This window comes from Homo sapiens, chromosome 8, assembly GCF_000001405.40.
Source record: "Homo sapiens chromosome 8, GRCh38.p14 Primary Assembly".
Taxonomy (NCBI): Eukaryota; Metazoa; Chordata; class Mammalia; order Primates; family Hominidae; genus Homo; species Homo sapiens.
Genome location: NC_000008.11, coordinates 23,911,829 through 23,934,178, shown reverse-complemented (window position 1 = coordinate 23,934,178; position 22,350 = coordinate 23,911,829). Strand labels below are relative to the sequence as shown.

Genomic DNA, 22,350 nt, shown 5'->3' with positions numbered 1-22,350 from the left:
CAGCCACTAATACAGCTTTCAAAATGCAGATAAGTAGAAAATGGGACCAAAAAGTATCTGGAAAAAAAAAAATAGGAGTTAATATTCATATAGTCTTGGGGTTAGGCCTTTCTAAGCAGGACAAAAAGTGTCAGAGCTTGTCCTGGACCCCAGACAGTGTGTCTCCAGAGCCCATGCTTTGTATAGTAATACTTGGATATGTAGATATATACAAATGGAAATAAAGAGCTATTTATGGGTTAGGAAATCAGTAAGTCTATTGTACAAATCCAAAAACTGTTTCATTTCAGTAATCGAGAAAATTTAAGTACATAACGTGACACTATTTTAATCTGTCAAATTGGCAAAATTTTTAAATAGTTTACTGCAACTATTGTTCCAGGTGTAATTCAATGAGCAGACATATCTATTAATACCATTTTTGGGGGGTCAATTGGACAACAAATATCAAAACCCTTAAACTTTTTGTACTCGCATTTTTTTATCCTAAAGAATAAATTATTAATGTGCACAGAGACTTAGCAACAAAGATGTTTAGGGCAGAAGGGTTAAACAGAACCAAATATTGGATATAAATTAAATAACCCTAAAAAAGGAAAGACTTAAATAAATTATGATATGTCTATATGACAAAATACTAGGCAACCACAAAATATGATATTGTAGAAGATTGTTATGACATAGAAAGATATTCTGTTATGCTCCTGAGAGAAAAAGCAATTTAAAAATTCTGTGAACAGTATAATACAGCCTATGTTAAAATATGTATTTAAAAAGCCTAAAGGATAATATAAAATGTTATCAGTGGATATCTTTAGGTGACAGGATTCAAGTGGTTTTTATGTATTTATTTGTCACTTATCTGTACTTTTCAAATTTTCTGCATGAAATACTCGTGTAATAAGAAAAGCATAATAAAAACATTATAAATTAATAGAAAACTGCTTCTTTTAGATGCAGAGTGATTTTGTACATGATCTTGAGCAGCTCTGTGATCCCATCCAGACTATGAACTATACAACCCCAGTCAGCCACATTCTTTAGTAAGACTAACTTATTTCCAAATCAAACATAAAGTAATAATGATCATAATCTACTGTAATTCAAAGATAATTTTTCCAAGTGCAGAAAAAGGACAAGAAGAGGTACAGGTGAGTTCCTCACATCAAAACCTGGCAGCATGAAGCCAGGGACACTGACCTCTTCATTCAACCTTCTGGGGTGCAGCCTTTAGATCCTGCTGCTTTGTAGCAAAACTTCCAGTGCCTACAAAACCCTTTGTGAAACTAAACCACAGAAAGAAAGAACCCTTGTCTCGCAGCTAAAGGCAATCTGCCAATTTATTTTCATCCTTCATCTAATTCTCAGTTGGCCAGCTAAGTGAAAAAGGTAACCAGAGACAGGAGAGAAGGCCAGTGATAAGAATGACAGATAAGGAAATAAAACATTCGTCGGAGTCCATTCTCTGTGTCACCAACCCATTTTATTTGACTCGCAGTGAGAGTGGCTGTTTAAATAATCTATATTGCATGAAAAAGAAAGGACAATTGGACAGAGAATGATACAGAAAGAAGATGCACATATTCTAAAACACGGAATAGGACATGAGAAGAATGTTTACCTAGAGAAAGGCTGCTCCTTGGTTAGACCTGCATCTTCTAGTCCCTCCAGAAGAGAACATTGTCCTTTTGCTGTTTGGAAATATCTCCCTGGTAAAGCAGAGGCCATGCTGGGTATAGGATGCTTGCAATGCATTCCTAGTGGGACTTTCAGAGGCCAATGCATTTATACTTGAATTCACTCAGCATTTAGTCCAGCATTTCACATGCTATAAGCACTTGGCATATGTATATTAAGTTGATTTATCTCCAAAATATAAGAAAAGATCACAAGAGGCCAAGAAAACTGTTTCTTCCTTTTGGTGTTCAAGTGCTATATGGTCCAGTAGAGGTCAGCCTCTCACAATTGATTTAAGGACAAAAAGTAGCCCTCACCCCCAACTTTATCACCCCCCGCCAAAATCCTTAGCTTCTAGCTGATGGTACGGTGGAAAAAATCCTGTAAATAGAAGTCACTGCATGATGACCTGAGGCAAGTTACTTAACCACCCTAAGCTTCGGTTTCCTTATCCGCAAAAAGGTGGGGTAAGAGAAAGGAAGAGTTTTACGAGCAGAATTTAGGGCAGGATCTGACATGAAGTAGCTGCCAGTATTGAATGTAATTTCCTTGCCTTTCCCTCTTCCTTGAAGTCTCTTCATTTCATCATCAGAGATAAGACAATACCCTTACCAGAGGTCCTGATGGGTTTAAGTTCACACTGAGTTATAAATCACCAATATTAGATCCTTTCTTGAAAATTGCTCCTAAAAAGAAGAGGGAACTGGGTGCCACCAATACATGAACGACAAAGAAGAGGTGTGATGGAGGGGCTAACGTGGGGGTAGAATAAAAACCTAAGGCAACAATATCACCTGGTATTAGTTCTCAGAATATCAAACTTAGGCAAAAATAGATTTAAGTTTTTAAGTGCTAGACATACATACTGAAGTTGAGCAATTATATAAAATATTCTTTTTTAAAAAAAAAATTTGAGACAGGGTCTCGTTTTGTCACTGCAGCTGGAGTGCAGTGGTAGAATCACGGCTCACTCCAGCCTCAACCTCCTGGGCTCAATTGATCCTCCATCCTCAGCCTCCCTAGTAGCTGGGACTACAGGTGTTCACCACCACACCCAGCTAACTTTTTTATTTTTTATAGAGACAGGGCTTTACCATATTGCCCAGGCTGGTCTTGAACTTCTGGACTCAAGCGACTGGCCCATTTCAGCCTCCCAAATTGCTGGGATTACAGGTGTGAGCCACCACACCCAGCCTATAAAATATTCTCAAAGTCAAAATCATAAAAGATATCATGGGACAGGCATCAGGAGCCCTGGGTCCTTGCTCCAGACCACTCTCCATGCCCTATGGGAGCCCTGTAGTACACTTGGGTAAGATCATGAACATCAGTATCAGATACTTGAACTCTAATCTCCATTCTGCCCCAGAAGCTGTCTGACCTTACACAAGGTGCCTAATCCCTGAAGGCCTCAATTTCCCCTGTAGTCAAATGGGGGTAATAATGACTTGTTCATGAATTACTGAATAGGTAAATAAGATAATACCTGTAGAACATTTAGCACTATGTCTGGCAGTTTAGGTCTTCAAACAATGGGAATCTCTACTCATTATCTGTGTGATTGTAGAAAGGCATTTCCTCTCTCTGGGTATCAGTTTCCTCATCTACAAAAGAGGGAGGAGGTAATTGGAAGATCAACATTAGGGTCCCTCCATAAAGAAAACTTGTCTGATTCTCATGCAAGGCCCAGCATCTCTCAAGGCAGCTCTCTCAAGGAGCCCAGCAGCTCGAGCTCAGGAGCATGGTCTGAGCCTGGCAGCTGCTTCCATCACACAAAGCAATAGGACAATGTTGCAAAAGGATCTGCAAGAGAGGCAATTCCATCCAGGCCAACTTGAAGGAAAGACTTTGTCAAGATCATTTTGAAAATGAAACGTGACTTCCTCTTTTGTTTTGTTTTGTTTTCAGGTCAAGAAATGAGAAGGATGCCAAGCTGAGCACAGTCCCTGGAGGCTTCTGCAGGATCACATGTCTCTGCAGAAATGCCATTTTAACTGATGTAAGTGTGAAGGACTTGGAGCCCCAGGGATTAAATTTCTGCTGAAATACACATGTTTTTTGAGGAAAAAAAAAATAGAGAGAGCTCTTGACCCAGGGGAATGCAAAGCTTTTTGGAAAACTGTTGGAAGCCTGATATGGAGGGTATCAGATGCCCGTGGCCTTTCAAGGCTTCCCTCGTGTTGTAGGTTAGCATGAGATCACACCTGGCCCTGGGCTGGGGTCAGGGAAGAGGGACACCTGTCTTAGCTTGTCTCACATATACACATACACATTCCTAGGCCTGGGAACTTTTTTCCCCCCACAAAGACATGTTTTATGACTGTACTTGTGTTTTTATGACAAAACAATCCCACATTCGTCTGAGAGGAAGTGTGATTCAAGCAGCCTGGGAGATGTGACACCTGGGCTCTGCAAGGCTGGTTTTATCACAGCTCACCTTATTCTCTCAGCTCACTGCTAGGGCTGCCTTCTCCCTTTGCAACGTGGGTCAGAGGGAGTGCCCCGCCAGCCCTCCCTTTGGTGAAGGGGTCAGTGATCATTTGTGGGAAAGAATATTTGTCTATCCAAAGATCTGGCTGTGAGTCTTGCATGTCATCTCACTTCTCTGAGCCTCTGTATTCTCAGCTTTTGAGAAAGGTGCAACACATCTTCCTCCCAGCTGGTTGTAAAATTTCAGTGACATAGTGTGCGAAGGTTCTTACGAAGTATGAATAACTAAATTCATGTGATGTTAATATCTCCATCGGTGATTATTTATAGTCAAATGCCTGCTGTTTTAAGGTAATGAGGGCATTTGTGTGAGTGCATAAGTGTGTGAGTGTGTGTGTAAGTGTGAAGACACTTTGCACAGAACAAGGGATATTAACAAGTGCAACTCAAGAACCACCATCCTTAAAGTACCCATCATCCCTGGGGATCAAAAGAGGTAAGTGTCTAAACAGATAAATAAGTAACACTAGACAGCAAAGAGAGAAGATGCCCCAGGCAAGCCCAGGGCTGGTGATCATGGATAGTAAGAACTAGAAAGAAACATGGATGCGTGAATGGGGATGCTCGGGAAGGCTTTGTGGAAGAGGGGAGGATCTTCTGGGTCCTTAAAGTAAGGCAGAAAAGACTTGGTAGGTAGCACACAATTGGTCAGGGACCTGCCAACACCCTGTTCCCCTGAGTGTATTCAGTGGAGTTCAAAGGAGTCCCCTGGGAGTGCCTATATTATAAATCTTTTCACAGGGCCGGGCGTGGTGACTCACAAAGTGCTGCAATCCCAGCACTTTGGGAAGCCAAGGCGGATCACTTGAGGTCAGAAGTTCGAGACCAGCCTGTCCAACATGGTGAAACCCCATCTCTACTAAAAATACAAAAATTAGCCAGACATGGTGGTGCATGCCTGTAGTCCTAGCTACTCGGGAGGGTGACGCAGGAGAATCACTTGAACCTGGGAGGCGGAGGTTGACGTGAGCCAAGATCATACCACTACACTCCAGCCTGGACGACAGAGCAAGACCCTGTTTTGTTTTGTTTTTTTCCTTTTTTAAAAAAAAAAAAAAAACCTCACTCAAATAAGACAAGTATTTAGTAAACTTCCCATAACATCTTTTCTAACTGAAATAGGGCTATGTTAGGGCTATGTCATGTTGTTGCTGCACTTTATGGTTTTTCAGGACTCAGTGGGCATTAGGGATGGTGTGAAAGAGACATGCTCTCATGTTTCCTGCCTGGAGGAGAAGGATCCTCAGAGAGCCTCAGCAGGTGGTAGCAGCAGGAACTGCTGAAGGCCAGAGTGAGAGCCCAGAGGGAGGAGAAAGACAAAAACTGGTTGGAAACCTGTGCAAGAAGCAGGTAAACCTCCAGATCTTCACCATCAGCCTGCACAGCCCAAATGTTGCCATCTCTTAGCCTGGCAGAAGATGGGAGATTTAGTCTCTGAACAAATTAGACAAGTAAGCTCTGGAAACAGGAATAGTAGGCACAGCTATGAGCAGGAGAGAGACACTGCACTGAACACAGGGGCACTAGGTAAGTCCTTATAATGAATGGTGGGCTTCGCACCTCTTCATCGCCTTAGAGAACTCTTAGGAAAGTGGCAGTCAGGTTTACAGCTCCCAGCCTGGAAACTAAAGAGCTCCTCTCTCAGATAGGCCCAAGCAGGGGGAATAAAACACCTATAGATGTTGAAGTTTCATCTCCAACAAATGATCCCGATTCCTACCTGAGCATCCTATAGTGGCACCCAGAAATCAAGGAACCCCTCCTCAACACAGCTATTCCGTTCAACCTGTGAGTACTTCAACCTTTAAAAGGATGACTTGTGGGTATCTAGGACTTGAGGAAAGTCTTAGAGAAATGTAGAAGAAAAAGAAAATTTTAAACATATTTAATATAAGAGATATAACAAAGAATGGAACAAGATTGAAAGCTATGAAACAAGAATAGGGTGCTGTTTGGCCAGGCGTGGTGGCTCACGCCTGTAATCCCAGCACTTTGGGAGGCCGAGGCGGGTGGATCACCTGAGGTCAGGAGTTCAAGACCAGCCTGGCCAACATGGTGAAACCCTGTCTCTACTAAAAATACAAAAATTAGCTGGGCATAGTGGCAGACGCCTGTAATCCCAGCTGCTCGGGAGGCTCAGGCAGAAGAATCACTTGAACCCGGGAAGCAGAGGTTGCAGTGAGCTGAGATCGCACCATTGCACCCTAGCCTGGGCGATAAGAGCAAAAAAAAAAAACACACAAAACAAAAAAAACCCAAAAGGTGCTATTTAAGAAAGAGTCAGAAATAAGTCTTGAAAAATTAAAAATATGCTAGCAGAATATTTTTGTAAATTGAAAGGAGGCTGGGTGTGGTGCCTCATGCCTGTAATTCCAACACTTTGGGAGGCCAAGGTGAGCAGATAGCTTGAGCTCAGGAGTTCAAGACCAGCTTGGGCAACATAGTGAAACTCCATCTCTACAAAGTAAAAAAATAAATAAAATTGAAAGGATTAGAATAGAAAGGTCTTTAAAAATCTCCCAATAATATATAACAAGAAGAAAAGGAGATAAGAAATCAAAGGCAAAAATATAAGAAAATTATACAATCAATCCAAGAGGTAAAAGAGATAGGTAGTAGGACTCCTGAAAAAGAGAAACAAAGAGGCCAGTCACAGTGGCTCATGCCTATAATCCCAGCACTTTGGGAGGCTGAGGCGGGCAGATCACAAGGTCAGGAGTTTGAGACCAACCTGGCTAACATGGTGAAACCCCATCTCTACTAAAAATACAAAAATTAGCCTGTGTGGTGGTGCATGTCTGTAATCCCAGCTACTTGGGAGGCTGAGGCAGGAGAATCACTTGAACCCAGGAGGCGGAGGCTGCAGTGAGTCGAGATCACGTCACTACACTCCAGCCTGGGCAGAACAGAGTGAGACTCCATCTCAAAAAAAAAAAAGAAAAAGAAAAAGAAACAAAGAAAGGGGAAGGGGTAAAATAACTAAAGCAGAAATGCAAAAAATTTTTCTAAAACTGAATAGAGTTTTCAGATCTAAAAGACTCACCAAATGCCCAGCATAACGATTAAAAGAAAAATCCACTGCAAGGCCCTTCATGTGAAATTTCATAATACCAAGGTTACAGAGATTTTTGAAACTCTAGAAACACCAGGAACTGGAAGGAGATTGTGCCAGTTACTAAGCTATTGTCCCTCAGCCCCGTCCCACCCACAGCAGGGACTCTCCCAGCTGCATTTCTCCCTTGCACAATGGCTTCCTGGTACAGTCGTTAACAGGTGGTATAGACGGAGATTGGCAACCTGGATGGAGAACAAGGACAGGCTCTTTCCTGTTTTCTTTTATCCCTATCAGCATCACCTCTGTCATAGCCCTTCCCCTGGCTGTGGCACTTGATCGATCTCCAGCTTTTGGGTATTTTACTTTTCTGGAATTCCAAACCCAACCTCATGCTACCCTTCAGGGGTCTCAGTGCTGGTTGGCCTCACCTCTTCCTCAAAGTTCTGTATCTCAGCTTCAAGAGGCTCCTTCTTCAAACTCTTGGGTTCTGATTTTCCCAAGCCTTCCTTTTGTTGCCATAGGTGTGCTGATGGCTTCCTCTAGTTACTAGCTTTGTGTTATCTCAGTATCCCATCTTCATTTCCTCAGTTCTTTAACACCCGTTTAACCTTCCTTATATTAAATTAATCTTCTGAAAATAAGTGATGTGGTTTCTGTTTTATGACTGAACTCTGGCTGATAGAGTACTTGGTACCAGAAGCGATACCAGGGGACAAGTCTTCTGAGAATTCTGGGATTTGTTTGGTACAATCCTGAGTCTATACTTAAACTGCCAATCAAAGAAAATGCTTAAATACATTTTCAGTGAAAAAGGGTTTCCAAAGTGTTATCGCTCATGCACACAGAGCCACTGCATGATTTACTCTACCAACACCAGGAGAAAACCATGAAGAAAAGAGACACTGAATCCAAGAAAGATGCTTTAATAAGGTCACGGAATGAAGGAAAGCTAGGATGAGGGCAGAGAGAAGTTTGGGGCTGACAGCTGAGCTCCAGGACTAGAGTAGCCAGTCCAGACTGGAGCAGGTGGGAAGAGGCTCTGGAAAGATAATATCTAATTTAAAACTGGGAGAGTGATAGAGGCTATGATAAACATATTGAGAGGAGTTTAGTGATTCTATTGGGAAGATTGACACTGATGTAGTGAAGGGCACCTGGAAAGCTAATTTTAAAAATTATTTATTTCAAAGAAAACACGTATTTACAGTATACTACACCATTCAACTGTGAACAATATTTACAGAATCATAAGAATGCCAACACTAATATTAGTTGAATAAAAGTATCTAATCAATCCATAATAAATAAAGGATGCATAGAAGGCTGAATAATGTCTCCCAAAGATATCAGGTCCTAAACACCGTAGCCTGTAAATATTACCTTATTTGAAAAAAATGAAAGGGCCAGGTGCTGTGGCTCATGCCTGTAATCCCAGCACTTTGGGAGGCTGAGGCAGTTGCGTTGCCTGAGGTCAGGAGTTCAAGACCAGCCTGGCCAACATGGAAAAACCCCATCTCTACTAAAAATACAAAAAAAAAAATAGCCAGGCATGGAGACGGGCACCTGTAATCCCAGCTACTCGGGAGGCTGAGGCAGGAGAATTGCTAGAACCTGGGAAGTGGAGGTTGCATTAAGCTGAGATCACGCCACTGCACTCCAGCCTGGGCAACAGAAGGAGACTCCATAAAAAAAATAAAAGAAAAAAAGGGGGGTGGGGACGACATCTTTGCAGATGTGATTAAGGATTTTGAGATGAGGAGGTTATCCCGCATTATTAAATAAGGCTTAAATGCAATTGAACGAATTGTTTAAAAGGGAGGGAGAGAGAGATTAGACAGACACACAAAAGAGGCATAGCAATGTGAAGACAGGGTCAGTGAGCAAAGTGATATGGCCACGAGCCAAGGAATGCTGGCAGCCCCTAGTAATTGGCAGAGGCAAAGAAGGATTCTGCCCTAGAGCCTCCAGAGGGAGTGCAGCCCTGTCAACACCTTGATTTTGGCCCAGTGATACTGATTTTGGACTTCTGGCCTCCAGAACTATGTAAGGATAAATTTCTGTTGTTCAAGCCACCAGGTTTGTGGTCACGTGTTACAGCAGCCACAGGAAACTAATACAGGGGTATATGGGGAAGGAGATGAAATAGGGATGAATTCACATCTTCCCTGCAGGAAGTCAATAGATTTTGTCTGCATCTATTGCTAGAGTTAACCATCATTTAAAGAAAAGAGTTACTAGAACTGATGTGGGGACTAGAAATCAGGAGTAGAGAGGACTGTTGTTTGTTGGAAGTCTTATAAGTATCACCTAACTTTGTGAACTATGGGAAAAAGTTAGACAGAAAAAATAAGTTCTGGAGTTCTATTACACAGTAGGATGGCTGTAGCAAATAACAAAATGATATATATTTTAAGATAGCTAGAAGAGAAGATGTTGAATGTTATCGCTACAAAGAAATGACGAATGCTTAACATGATGGCTATAGTGATGACTCTGATCTGATCATTATACAATGTATACACGCGTTGAAATATCACATTGTACTCCATAAATATTCACCATTATTATATGTCTATTGTAAATTTAAAAGTTAATTAAAAATAAAATAAAAATTTAGAAAACCTGAGAAGAGTAAACAATCAATTCCTACCCCTTTTCAAAGAGCATTTTGCAAACTCTTCTTTCTGGACTTAGTTAAGAGAAAGGGGATAAGGAGAATAAAAATAAGGGGGTGGAAGAAACAGAAAGGTCTTATGGCCCCTTCTATGCTCAAGGCTCTGTACAAGGCACTGTAAAAGCATTATGGCCTCTCCTCCTTGCAGTAACCCTGCAGGACAGGTATGAATTTTAGAGTTTGAGCCATTGAGTCTCAGGAAGACAAAGTAACTTTCCCCAAGGTCACACTGCCTAGTCGATCTCCAAAGCCTGCCCTCCAGTCTCTACTGTCTATACTATGTGGATTATAAGAGGTAGACACACAGCGATCTCATCACACTAAGGAACTTAAAGAAGAAAGGTACCCTGTCTGAGGAAAAATTTTTAAAAACTTCATGAGAGTGTGGCTCTTGAGTTTCATAAACAGTAAGAAGACATTAGTTTCTCTGAGTTTTTACTACTTGGTTTCATAGGAGCTGATATGGTTTGGCTGTGTCCCCACCCAAATCTCATCTTGAATTGTAGCTCCCATAATTCCCACGTGTTGTAGGAGGGACCCAGTGGGAGATAATTGAATCATGGGGGCAGTTTCCCTCATACTGTTCTCGTGGTAATGAATAAGTCTCCCAAGATCTGATGGTTTTATAAGGAGAAACCCCTTTGACTTGGCTGTCATTCTCTTTTGTCTGCCACTATGTAAGATGTGCCTTTCATCTTCCGCATTCTACCATGATTGTGAGATCTCCCAAGCCACGTGGAACTGTGAATCCATTAAACCACTTTTTCTGTATAAGTTACCCAGTTTGGGATATGTCATTATCAGCAGTGTGAAATTAGACTAATACGGTAGCCTCTCAAATGCATAGGTTAAAGACCAACCTGCCAGGTGAATATCATTTTTATAATCTGCATTTTACAAAGGAAGAAGCTCAGGCTTTGGGCAGTCAAGTTATTTGTCCAAGTAGTAAGAGCAGTACTAGAACTCTGGTCTTTATCCAGCACATCCTCTGTTCCTTGTATCTCCCTAACTCCCTAATAAACATTTACTAAATTGGGCTGCACTGAGGAGAAACTTGCAGTCAACAGTGGCTCTATGATTAGGAGGGAAGGAGCCCAGGACAGTACTGACTGCAGAAGGAAATGAACTTGAAAGTAAAATGGGGTCTCAGAGAATTCAGAGTCAAAGGATGCAAGTTGGCTGTATTGCCACTGCTTCTCACTTAACCCAAGCTCTTATGAATCTGGAGCTACAAACTGACAAAAAAGAAAAAGCAAGGAAAGAAAGAAAAGAAACACATTTCAAGCAAAGTCCAGCTGGCAGCAGGACAGTCTGGCTATATGCATTGAACCAAAGCCAAAAAAGAACAGAAAAAGTCTCCATCAGACAATCCACCCATTTAAACCCGATCTGCCAAACCAGGGCTCCTTCTTTCCAGTTCCAATTAACAGCCATCCTCCCAGCGCCCAGCGTGCTGAGTCACCCTCCAGTGCCACAGCTGATGGCTCATACAGCTTTGTACTCATCTAATCCTCTGATAGCCTGGGGCTGTATTAGTGTCACAGTAGAAAATTCGCTTCCAAATTGGAACATTATTATTTTACTGTACAAAAGTCAGCAGGGTTCTTGAAGGAACTGCAAACCATCTGTTAACCCTTTCCAATCTTACCTCCCATAACCGCCATCAGAAAATAGGACTTCACCTTATGGAAGTGGCCATAGATCAAGTCTTCCTGGGGCCTCTGGTGCCAGCCTGAGTACATGGACAGCTGCCCTGCTGTTATGATATGAGGTGCTTCCAAGTCTCTCTGAAAACACAAGCTTGATGTCTAAAATCCAAGCTCTGCCACATAATAGCTGAGTTATCTTGGAAAAGTTGCTTCATCTGTCTGAGTCACCTGTAAAATGGTCAAATTTTGGCTGGGCGCAGTGGCTCATGCCTGCAATCCCAGCACTTTGGGAGGCTGAGATGGGTGGATCATGAGGTCAGGAGATGGAGACCACCCTGGCTGACAAGGTGAAACCCCGTCTCTACTAAAAATACAAAAAATTAGCCAGACGTGGTGGCACATGCCTGTAGTTCTAGTTACTCGGGAGGCTGAGGCAGGAAAATCGCTTGAACCCAGGAGGCGGAGGTTGCAGTGAGGCGAGATTGTGCAACTGTACTCCAGCCTGGGCAACAGAGCTAGACTCCATCTCAAAAAAAATTTAAAAAGGTCCAATCCTGCATATCAAATGCCTGAGAGCTACTACCTCAGGAGATCATGCAGCTGCGCAAACATAGCATTTCTTGCCACATAGAAGGCACTCACTGCATCCCTATTTCTTTCCTTCCTTGGTTTACTTCAGCCTTGCCATCTCCTTTTGTTTCTTGCAGATATTATTCCCAGAAAGGAAGAAGATAAACATGTTAACTCCTGGGTATAAATGAATCTTCAGTTCTGCTTCCCTTCTTCATCAGAATAGGATACATCTTGAGGGGCTTGGATGAACTCAAAATTACATGCCAAATTAAATGCATCTAATTTTAATGGTGCTCAGTTATTGGAATCTGTGGAGGAAAGATGCAGAAAAACACAGAAAAACTCCAAGAACCGGGGAGAGGATCAGTCTTAAGTCTCATCATCTTCATCATTTTGCCTGGATACAGTTAGTTGCAAAAAACCTACAGTAGGTAAAAGTCAGTTAATTCAGTGGAAAAGAGTGTTGACTGTTTTATCTTATAAATGAGTAGTTCGAGCAGTACAAATGTAGCCTGAATGTTGTATGGGGCAACTAAGGGAACAAAATTCTCCAGGCGACTTCATCCAAACGTGAGTTTGCCAGGTGCAACATGAAAAAACAAATCAGCCAGCAACTGTGTGGGTATGGGGAAGAGGTGAGAGAGAAAGGAGTCTTTCCCATTCTGCACTTAACCTGGAAAATGTCTTCTTGCTCCCCAAAGTAAGAACAATACAATTATCCTGCTAAGATGCCACAGAATGCAAAGCAATAAAGAGAGAAGGCTCTCCTGAGTCATAAGCAGCTGCAGTAGGCATTTGACAGTGGCTAGAGAAGAAATGAATGTCCCTGAGCCTACATTGCACAGAGTGGTTGCCTTACGGCAACTGCATTGTCCAAAGGTATCCACTGTGAGCATGATTGCTATAAGGAGCTAACATTACCGAGATCACACTGAGAGTAAACGCAAGGCTGTCTTATTTAATCCTCATTACCATCCTATACATTTGGTAATATTCTTATGTCCATTTCAGAAATGAACAGATTGAGGTTAAGAAGCATGTCTAAGGTCATGGAGTTTGTACATGACAGAGACCAAAATGCAAACCTAGATTGCCTGATTTCAAAGCGGCAATTTAAATAATATCTGTACTTTAAGTCTGAAATTTGATCAATTGCATATCAAGAGGTGATTTAAAACAAAATCCAAATTTACAAAAACACATATATCCCCAGGTGGACCTGCATAGGACCCAGAATATCATGGGGTCTAGAAAAGAGAAGGCAAATGTTGTAGAACCAAAGAAGAAGAGGAGGATACATACAGGACCAGGACAGACATCTTTTCTTTGCCTCCCTTGAGGAGGAGTTTTTTCATTCTCATGCAGGAGATTGGTGTTAATAATAGAACAACATTATATTATTTATGGTTATATCTGTATCACTTTATGCTGAGTTAACTATATATTTAATGTAGGTTCAGTCAGTCTCAATAAATCCTTTTATGATGTTTTCATAAAGCCATAAGTCGAAAAAAAAAAGCATCCGAGTATCATTAAGGGTATTATTATCAAACAATATTAGATACTGGTAAGGAAGCTTCGTACCTAATTGCAAATTGCTGTCAAAATTCCACTGTACTGAGACTGCAGGCCAGGCGGACATTTTCCCTTTCCCTATTAGACGGTAGCTCATCACAGAAATATATCCAATGAATAACCCATGCTTTTGACTTTCAAGACACATTATTTCTCTACGCAAACAAAACACCAGGCTTTGCTTCCCAACTCTCTCCCTTTGGTGATGTTCCCAATCAGTTGCAGTTGAAGCAGGTGAGGAAACATAGGACACGATGAAGCAGTATCCTTTAGAATGGGGTGTTGGTGAACAGGTGCTACAAAATATGTCTAGGAAACATGCATATTTCTCCCCAGCTTGAATATCCATCAGGAAGTTGTTCTTTCTGCCAAAGACATTGAATTAAAAGGATGGGAGAAGAACACAAATACATACACGAATGCAAAGCACAGATACTCCACATAGATCATGCAACACTCATTGCAGAGTGTGTCAAAGAAAACTGTGAAGGAATAATTCCCACAGTAATAAACAAGTAACCTTAGGTGGATGCAGAGTGTTCTTGAAGGAGTCCATTACAAAGACTTGGCAGTAGATGTGAAATTTGATTAATTATACATATTGGCTATTGATCATTTCCCTCGCATTAATGAGAATTATCAAAATCTTGATAATTCAAAAGAAGAGAAATTAGATAGAACTGAAACAGAAACTATTTCCTTAGCCATTTACAGTTAAAAGTTTCCTAATTGAAAAGAAACAGAACCCCAGTCTGTTCATTGTTAATATATATTTTTATGCTTATGTTAACTGTATACCAAAATATTTATAGTTCTAATTTCATAGTGTGTCTTGAGTCATCTAACTTAATCACATTGCTTCCTTTAAAATTTCCCAAGTATAAAAACTAGATATAGCTGTAGATGCAGATATTAGTTGCCCTGCAGACAAAATTCTAGAGCCTGGAGCAATAAAAACTAGAAAGCAGAGTACCTTCTGCAACGTTGGCTTATTGGGGGCGGGATGCGCTCTAGGTTTCACAGGTACAGATACCATTAATTTCCCATCACCCAACAGAGGTCTAAGGGAGAGGAATAGAAGTCTGTAATACTACAAACCACTCTCATAGATCTCACACCAATCCTTCCTCTACCCCTTATGATCCACCACAAAACACACATACATTCTCAAAAATAAAAAGAAAAAATTACACACACACACACACACACACACACACACATCAGTCCTATAGGATTAGTATCTCACCCTTAAGATCTCATTAACCTTAGTTACTTTCCTTAAAGACCTGGTCTCCAAATACAGTTACATTGGAGGTTAGTGCATATGAATTTGGGAAGGAAGAACACAATTCAGTTCATAACAATAGAACAGTGTTCAGAAAGCAGGATACAAATTATGTTTGCTCTGTGACTACAGTTACATGAAACATATGCATAGGAAAAAGGAGTAAGGAAGGAAATGCATAAAAGGGGGAAAATTAATTATGAGATAAATTGGCTTATTCTTTTTCTCTATTTTCTGACATATTGTAATTAAAATATCATTTATGACTTTAAAGTATTTTTGAATGATTTACATTCTAAGATATACCATGCACCATGGTAGTTGGTGACAGATTGTATAGCTTTGCCCTTAAGGACTGTCATTCAGTTTAACAAATGTAGCTGTAACACACATCCACATGGCCCAAGGGAGGGGACTTGAGCCTGTACTGACCTGAACAGAGAGGAGCAGTTCTCTTCCTTTCATCTTGATCAGTAATAGCTCAGCCATTTACCTTGTTCCTGGATTAAGTCCATCCCATGAGAAAAATGGAGAAAATAGCAGAATAAATGGAGAGTTTTAAACCACCAAACACTCTACTTATTGGAAACAACACCAAGAGAAACATAGCTTTCCTACTATTCTGCCAATCTCATATATAGACTAAGTATTACAGGTATAAAGAATTATAAGATTTTTCAGGCACTCCTGTGTAATTACAAAAACTTGTTACCATAAGCCCAAGAAATCAAACAGATTCTGAAGAATTCATTAAATGCAAAGCATCATGCAAAACTCATCTTCCTTCTGTTCCCGCTGCCCACCCCCCACCCGCAACAACCCCTAGAACAAACCTAAACAAAAGGCTTGAAAACCAAGTGTAGTTTTAGAGCCAAGGTTGATTTGCATGTGAGAAGGACACATATGCAAAATCTAGCTCATACTGTGAGTCCATTCAAATCAAATACTCAAAGTGTATGTCTTTAACTTTTGAAATCTGGAGAAAAACGCAAATTCAGAGACTCATGGACAAGATCTGACTACCTAGAGCAGAAGCTGCTGGAGCCATAAACTAGTAGGAACATGTAAATGGTCATTTTGGTGATTTTCTCCAGGCTGAGTGTGCAATAGCCAGAGTGAGAAAGTGTTGAGAGCACAGTCTTAGAGGGAGCCCTACAGTTTTATGGGTTTTACCTTGAGGAATTACACCAGGTTCTCACTACAAAGAGCCAAGTCGATCCCTGACTAGCTTAGGCAAGAGGGGAGAAGAAGTAACCATCAAATAGTATACCCAGAGCATTCTTTATTTCAAAAGCCTGTTCTCCCAGGGAAAATATGTTTTCAGAGCTGTATTCCACCTGGGGGCTTTAGCCCCATCTAACTTTTATGTGTCAAATAAAGAGTGAGAAAATAAAATCTAAGAAACCCTCACGAACGTCACAGGCCCACTAAAAGACTGAGCACTGATCGTAAGATTATACAATGCTTCTCCCCCTTCAGACCTTACCATTATGCCAACGGGACTCCATTATAATAACAGTGACTATAGCTAAAAGAACTGCAAGTTGGAGACTATCTAAGGAGGAGCTCCCAGGAAAGCCCAGTGACAACAGAGGAAACAAGGACAACAGAGAAACATAGAGCTCTAGAAGCTACAGTTGCAACAAACATTAAATACAGCCCAATTCCTAGACAGATTAACATAGAACCTCACAGTAAAGCCTATTATTTCCCATTTTAAAAAGGAATTTTAAAGAACACATAATAATTGTACATATTTATATGAGTACAGAGATGTTTTGATAAAAGACGTATTTACCTCAGTTCTTATTACCCAACATATCATGTGCAGTTTCCACAAAAAAGTTAGTAAAAAAACAACGTCTGAAAAGAGGAAAAGAAGTCATTATTCGAAAAAGATACTTGCACTCACTTGTTTATAGCAGCATAATTCACAATAGCAAAATTGTGGTACCAACCCAAATGCCCTTCAATCATTAAGTGGATAAAGAAACTCTGGTATACATATATATGATGGAATACTGCTCAGCCATAAAAAGGAACGAATTAACAGCATTTATAATGACCTGGATGAGATTAGAGACTATTATTCTAAGTGAAGTAACTCAGGAATGCAAAACCAAACATAGTACGTTCTCACTGATATGTGGGAGCTAAGCTATGAGGATGCAAAGCCATAAGAATGATACAATGGACCTTGGGGACTTGGGGGGAAGAGTGGGAGGGGAGTGAGGGATAAAAGACAACAAATATGGTGCAGTGTATACTTCTTAGGTGATGGGTGCACCAGGTTCCCACAAATCCCCACTAAAGAAATTACTCATGTAACCAAATATCATTGTACCACAATAACTTATGGAAAAACAATTTTTTTAAAAAAAGTAAGCATCAGAATCAGACTCAGATATGGCATGGATTTTGGAATTTAAAATAACTATGATTATATGTTAAAGGCTTAATGAAAAGTTTTGTTTTTTTTTAAAAAAAGAGAAAGAAAAAAAAGCAAGTACAGATGAATAATGTAAACACAAAGATGAAAACTCCAGGAAAGAGAAATCCAATGTGATTAACCAAAAATATTGTAACAAAAATGAAGAATGCCTTTGATGGGCTCATCAGTAGATTGGATATGACCAAGGAAAGAATTACTGAACTTGAAGATAGTTCAAATAGAAATTTTCCAAACTTTCTCTTCTCCAAGAGAAAAAAAAAAAAGAATTTAAAATGTAAGAAAAGAACATCCCAGAATTGTGGGACAATTTCAAAAGGTGAAGTATTCAGATAATTGGAATATCAGAAGGAGAAGATACAGAGAATGAAGCAGAAGAAATATTTGAAGGAGTCATGGCTCAGAATTTTTAAAATAATAATAAATAGACATCAAACCACAGATCCAGGAAGCCAAGAGAACACTAAGCAGGATAAATAACAAAAATATGTAAACCTAGGCACAATATATTAAACTGCCAAAAAAAAAAAAAAAAGACAAAGACAAAATCTTTAAAGAAGGTAGTGGGGAGTGGAGAAGGACAGGGAAAGACCTTACCTATAGAGAAAGAAAGGTGAAAATTACAGTAGACTTCTTGTCGGAAACTGTGCAAGCAAGAAGAGAGTGGGATGAAATACTTAAATGTCAAAAAAGAAAAAAAAAGCCACCAACCTAGCATTCTATGTCCAGCAAAATTATCTTTCAAAAGTGGAAGAGAAATAAAGACTTTCTCAAACAAACAAAAACAAAGAAAATTTTCTATCAGACTTGCTCTGTAAGAAATGTTAAAAATTCTTCAGGGAGAAGAAAAATAGTATAGGCCAGAATCTCAGATCTATATAACAAGAAGTATGGGAAAAGAAATAAATGACAAGTTCCACCTTCAAAAGGATAATCTTTCAGCACCACAAAACCCATATCTCTATACCATAATTGACATTAAATTTAGAGAGAATGTCGCCTATGAGTATTTTAAAGTGAAGCCTTTATTTTAGGTGGTCCTGATGAAGGTTTCTGCCTCCTTTCTTGAGGCAATTACACTGGAAATAGTATAATATAATCTATGTCCAAAGGGAAGCTACAGACAGAAAGAATTATATCTGATAGAGAAAGAAAAGTCTATAAACAAGAGATCCTGGATCTTATTAAACTGAAAGGTATTGAATAAACTGATCACTTGTAGTGTCACCTAACAACTACATACACAGAAATAAAAGCAGAAAATAGGGATAAAAGTGGAAAAGTGAGGAAAGACTAGAGACATTCATTTGTCCAAGGTCACACAGCTGGCAAGTGGCAAACTGAAATTTAAATCCAGATCTTACTCCACATTGCAATGAATTACAAATAAATCATGAGATTCAGAGTTTCCCAAGCACACAATAAGGGGACATTCTGCAATGTACAAAAACTGACACCAGAATGGTACTTTTGTGACTTTAAGAAATTTCTTTTGCCTAATTCATACCCAAAAGAAGCTTAAAAAGAAAAAGAATAAAATAAAATAAAATAAAATAAAATAAACAGGACAATCTACAACAGTTGTGTCAAGCTGCTGGTCATTGAATTACAGTGGGAAGTCCACTTACCAAGGCTCTTCTAGGAAAGAAGGCAGAGTGGGACTGTTTTCATGGAGTCAGTTTCCTTATTCCCTAGAATGGCTTATTTTAGCAGTAAAGACCTCAGAAAACAGACTTCTAGCTACCATCCCCTGGGGCATCCTTCTGCTGATTAATCACAGCAGCTGGATCACACCAGCTGGAAAACATCCCTCCCTCCTCTGAACTGGCCTAGCACTTAATGTCTATACCATTCATCTGATATTTAATGTACGCTGGATTGGTGATGATATTTATAAGTGCACTATGCTTGTTTTCCTGTAAAATCCTAAGCTATTTGAGAATAAGCACCTATCCATTATCTTCCAAAGCACCCAATGGTAAGCAGGATGCCCTGTAGATGCCCCAGCAACATTGGTTGAGTAATTGTCTAGTGATGAAAGGAAAGTTGTCCAAGTATTCAGGAGTGATGTTGGTGGAATCTTAATAAGCTGTAATGAGAAGGTGATACCCAGATTACAAAAAGCAGAAATACAGTATGTTTGTTAAGAGGGTATCCATTCCTCTATTTGACAAACATTTCTGTACCTGTGCAGCACTGAGCAAATGAAGGATTCATATTGAAAGAATGTGGCTATTAAAAGCAGAGTAGAATTAATCACCTTTCCTAGTGGGTTCCATGTTTTGTTCATATTAATACAGCATTATCATACTGCTCTAGCTGGTTGTATATGTGTCTCTCTACCTAGACTAGGAACTTGCTGACTGGAGAAACTATTTGTCTCTTCAGTGTATACATGGCTTATAACTTATATACTTTATATCTAAAATACATAATTTGCATTTACATTTTGTTCATTTTATTTTACAATTAGTGAGCACTATCTCTCATCTCATAGAAGCCAGGCCTTAAGTGCACTCTAAAATTACCAATAATTTAGCAAGAGTGCAGACAATGCCTGTCCAAAAAACGTTGATTACAACGTTAGTGCCCATATTTTATCTAGCGAATTTTCTCTGATTTTGGCCCTGATTTGCTAACTCATTAGGTATCTAATCCCTGGCCATGCCATCATTATTACCACCCCAAGAGGCTTTGGTGTTTAGCAGTCTTTTTCCAATATCCTGATTCTTCAACTCATCAAATGGCTTTTGGTTCTATCTCTCATATTCGAGCATTAAATGTGCCCATGAGTCCTGTCTTCTTGGCATGGCCTGATAGGATAAGTGTTTACTCCCTTTCAGACACCATGAATATCCTAGTGCCACAAAGATGAACAGTCTTTGCAATCAGATAATTCAGTCAGTGCTGTCAAATTTAACTCCCTGCAATGATAGAAATGCCCTATATATGTGCTATCCCAGCTATCCCATCTGGTAGCACTAGCCATATGTGGCTATTGAATCCCTGAAATGGCAAGTGCAACTAATTACGTGAACTTTTAATTTCATCTCACTTTAATTCACTTAAATTTACGTAGCCACAGGTGGCCAGTGGCATCTGTATTGGACATGCATGAGAGAGACAAACATATTATGACTACAAAAAAAGACAACTTGGCAGGTGCTCTCTTAGTAGCATGAACAAAATACTATGTGAGCACAGAGTAAAGAACAATTACTTTGGCTCCAAAGGCTGAGGAAATTTAGCAAAATGGATGGCATTGAAATTGCAATTTAAGGGACAAGTAAGATTTCATCAAGCAGAGAAAACAACATGAATAAATGCTATGAAGGAAAGATATGTTATTGAAATCTAAGGGATTTAGGAGTACAGAGACCAAAGATGAAACTAGAAAGATTGGTCAGGGCCAATGATTTCTAGAGATGTGCAATAAAATATAGTAGACACAAGCCACATTTGGCTATTTAAGTTCAAATTACATTAAATTAAAATATTCATCAGTTGCAGTAGCTGCATTTCTCGGATCCATAGCCACATGTCACTTGTGGCTACCACATTGGACAGCACAGATATGGGATATATCCATCATTGCAGTAAGTTCTAATGAACTAGACTGCTGTAATGTTTTAAGTTTGTTTATATTTTGGGTTTGGTTTTTAATTCACCTTAAATCCTCTAATGGACGAAGAGGGAAGAGATGAAGAAGTATAAAGCAGTGGAAGCTGTCAATAGGCCAGTTACAATTTGGTGGCAGGAGAATGAGTCAGAAGCGCACTGTCTATTTCCAAAGAAAACCATTTCTTGCCAGACAATATCATTGCCACTGAAGACCCAATACTGCTCCTTATCAAACTCTGGGTCAGCTCAGATTCTTCACCATTTGACAGGAAAATTCTAGGCAAAGAAATGGACATGGGGTGGGGGATGAAAACAAGGAACTACAATGGAAGAACAGTGGTAAAGAAATAAATATTTACTTTTTTCCGTATGATTTAAAAAAAAACAAGAATAGAAACATTACATTCAGTGTGAAAAAACGCAATCTCTTAATATACATGTCTTTCTGTTCCTTTTCCTCTTTCACCTTTAAAAGGCCTTCTATCGATTGATGACTATTAGGTCTTCCCAGCTCTCCATGAGACTGGTACCTAGGCCAGCAATCCTCTGCTATGTAGAGTCAACTTAGAATCACACACACACACGCACACACACACACACACACACACACACAAAATATGTTCAAGCTATCTGTAGCCTCTGTTCCTCAGTAGGGCCACTGTTCTCAAGTTCCTCTCTGCCTGCCTTCTCAGATAAGGTAGGCCTGACATTGTGGAACCTTCATGTCCCCTTTATCCCTTTCCCTTAAAAATCAAAAACAGGTCCTAAATGATTACCTTTTTCTTTCTTTGCTCTGAACCTTGTTCAGTCCCCCCTTATCCAGCAGCTCTCAAAGAATCAGTAGTTCTTTTAGAGTCCATGATGCCAAGATAATTTTTGCCATATTACTAAGACATTGATACTCTTTGGATCTATGTCCCCACTTAAATCTCATGTCGAATTGTAATTCCTAATGTTGGATGTGGGGCCTGATGGGAGGTGGTTGGATTATGGTGGTAGATTTCTCATGAATGGTTTAGCACATCTCCACATCTCTCTTCCTCCTGATCCGGCTGTGAAAGACATGCCTACTTCCCCTTCACCTTCCACCATGATTGTGAATTTTGTGAGCCCTTCCCAGAAGCTGCCATGTTTCCTGTACAGCCTGCAGAACCATGAGCCGATTAAACCTCTTTTCTTTATAAATTACCGAGTCTCAGGTATTTCTTTATAGCAGTGCGAGAACGGACTAATACAAATGTCATTTGCCCTCTTCACTCTTTTTCTTTCACATGTGTATAAGGTATTTTCCTGAAGCCACAT

The 22,350-nt window shown here is 39.9% G+C and overlaps 1 long non-coding RNA gene across 1 annotated transcript in view, besides 3 other annotated features; it reads right to left on the bottom strand.

Moving 5' to 3' along the window:
• The window catches only part of LOC107986931 (uncharacterized), a 290,196-nt gene extending 273,350 nt beyond the window's left edge, over positions 1-16,846 (bottom strand). The window contains exons 1-2 of the long non-coding RNA XR_001745844.1: positions 16,777-16,846; positions 15,411-15,478 (exon numbers count right to left, since the gene is read on the bottom strand). This is a non-coding gene — a long non-coding RNA (uncharacterized LOC107986931). The remainder of the gene's footprint in view (positions 1-15,410; positions 15,479-16,776) is intronic.
• Positions 12,507-12,777: a silencer, noted in NCBI's record as "fragment chr8:23778915-23779185 (GRCh37/hg19 assembly coordinates)". NCBI's record gives its function as "represses an EF-1alpha promoter that drives an FKBP-Casp9 reporter gene in an ReSE screen in HepG2 liver carcinoma cells {active_cell/tissue: HepG2}" and the evidence as "EXISTENCE:reporter gene assay evidence [ECO:0000049][PMID:32094911]".
• Positions 15,315-15,851: an enhancer, noted in NCBI's record as "OCT4-NANOG hESC enhancer chr8:23775841-23776377 (GRCh37/hg19 assembly coordinates)". NCBI's record gives its function as "activates a minimal SCP1, AML or CMV promoter by ChIP-STARR-seq in primed H9 embryonic stem cells {active_cell/tissue: H9 hESC(primed)}" and the evidence as "EXISTENCE:reporter gene assay evidence [ECO:0000049][PMID:30033119]".
• Positions 15,852-16,388: an enhancer, noted in NCBI's record as "OCT4-NANOG hESC enhancer chr8:23775304-23775840 (GRCh37/hg19 assembly coordinates)". NCBI's record gives its function as "activates a minimal SCP1, AML or CMV promoter by ChIP-STARR-seq in primed H9 embryonic stem cells {active_cell/tissue: H9 hESC(primed)}" and the evidence as "EXISTENCE:reporter gene assay evidence [ECO:0000049][PMID:30033119]".
• Positions 16,847-22,350: the final 5,504 nt, after the last annotated feature.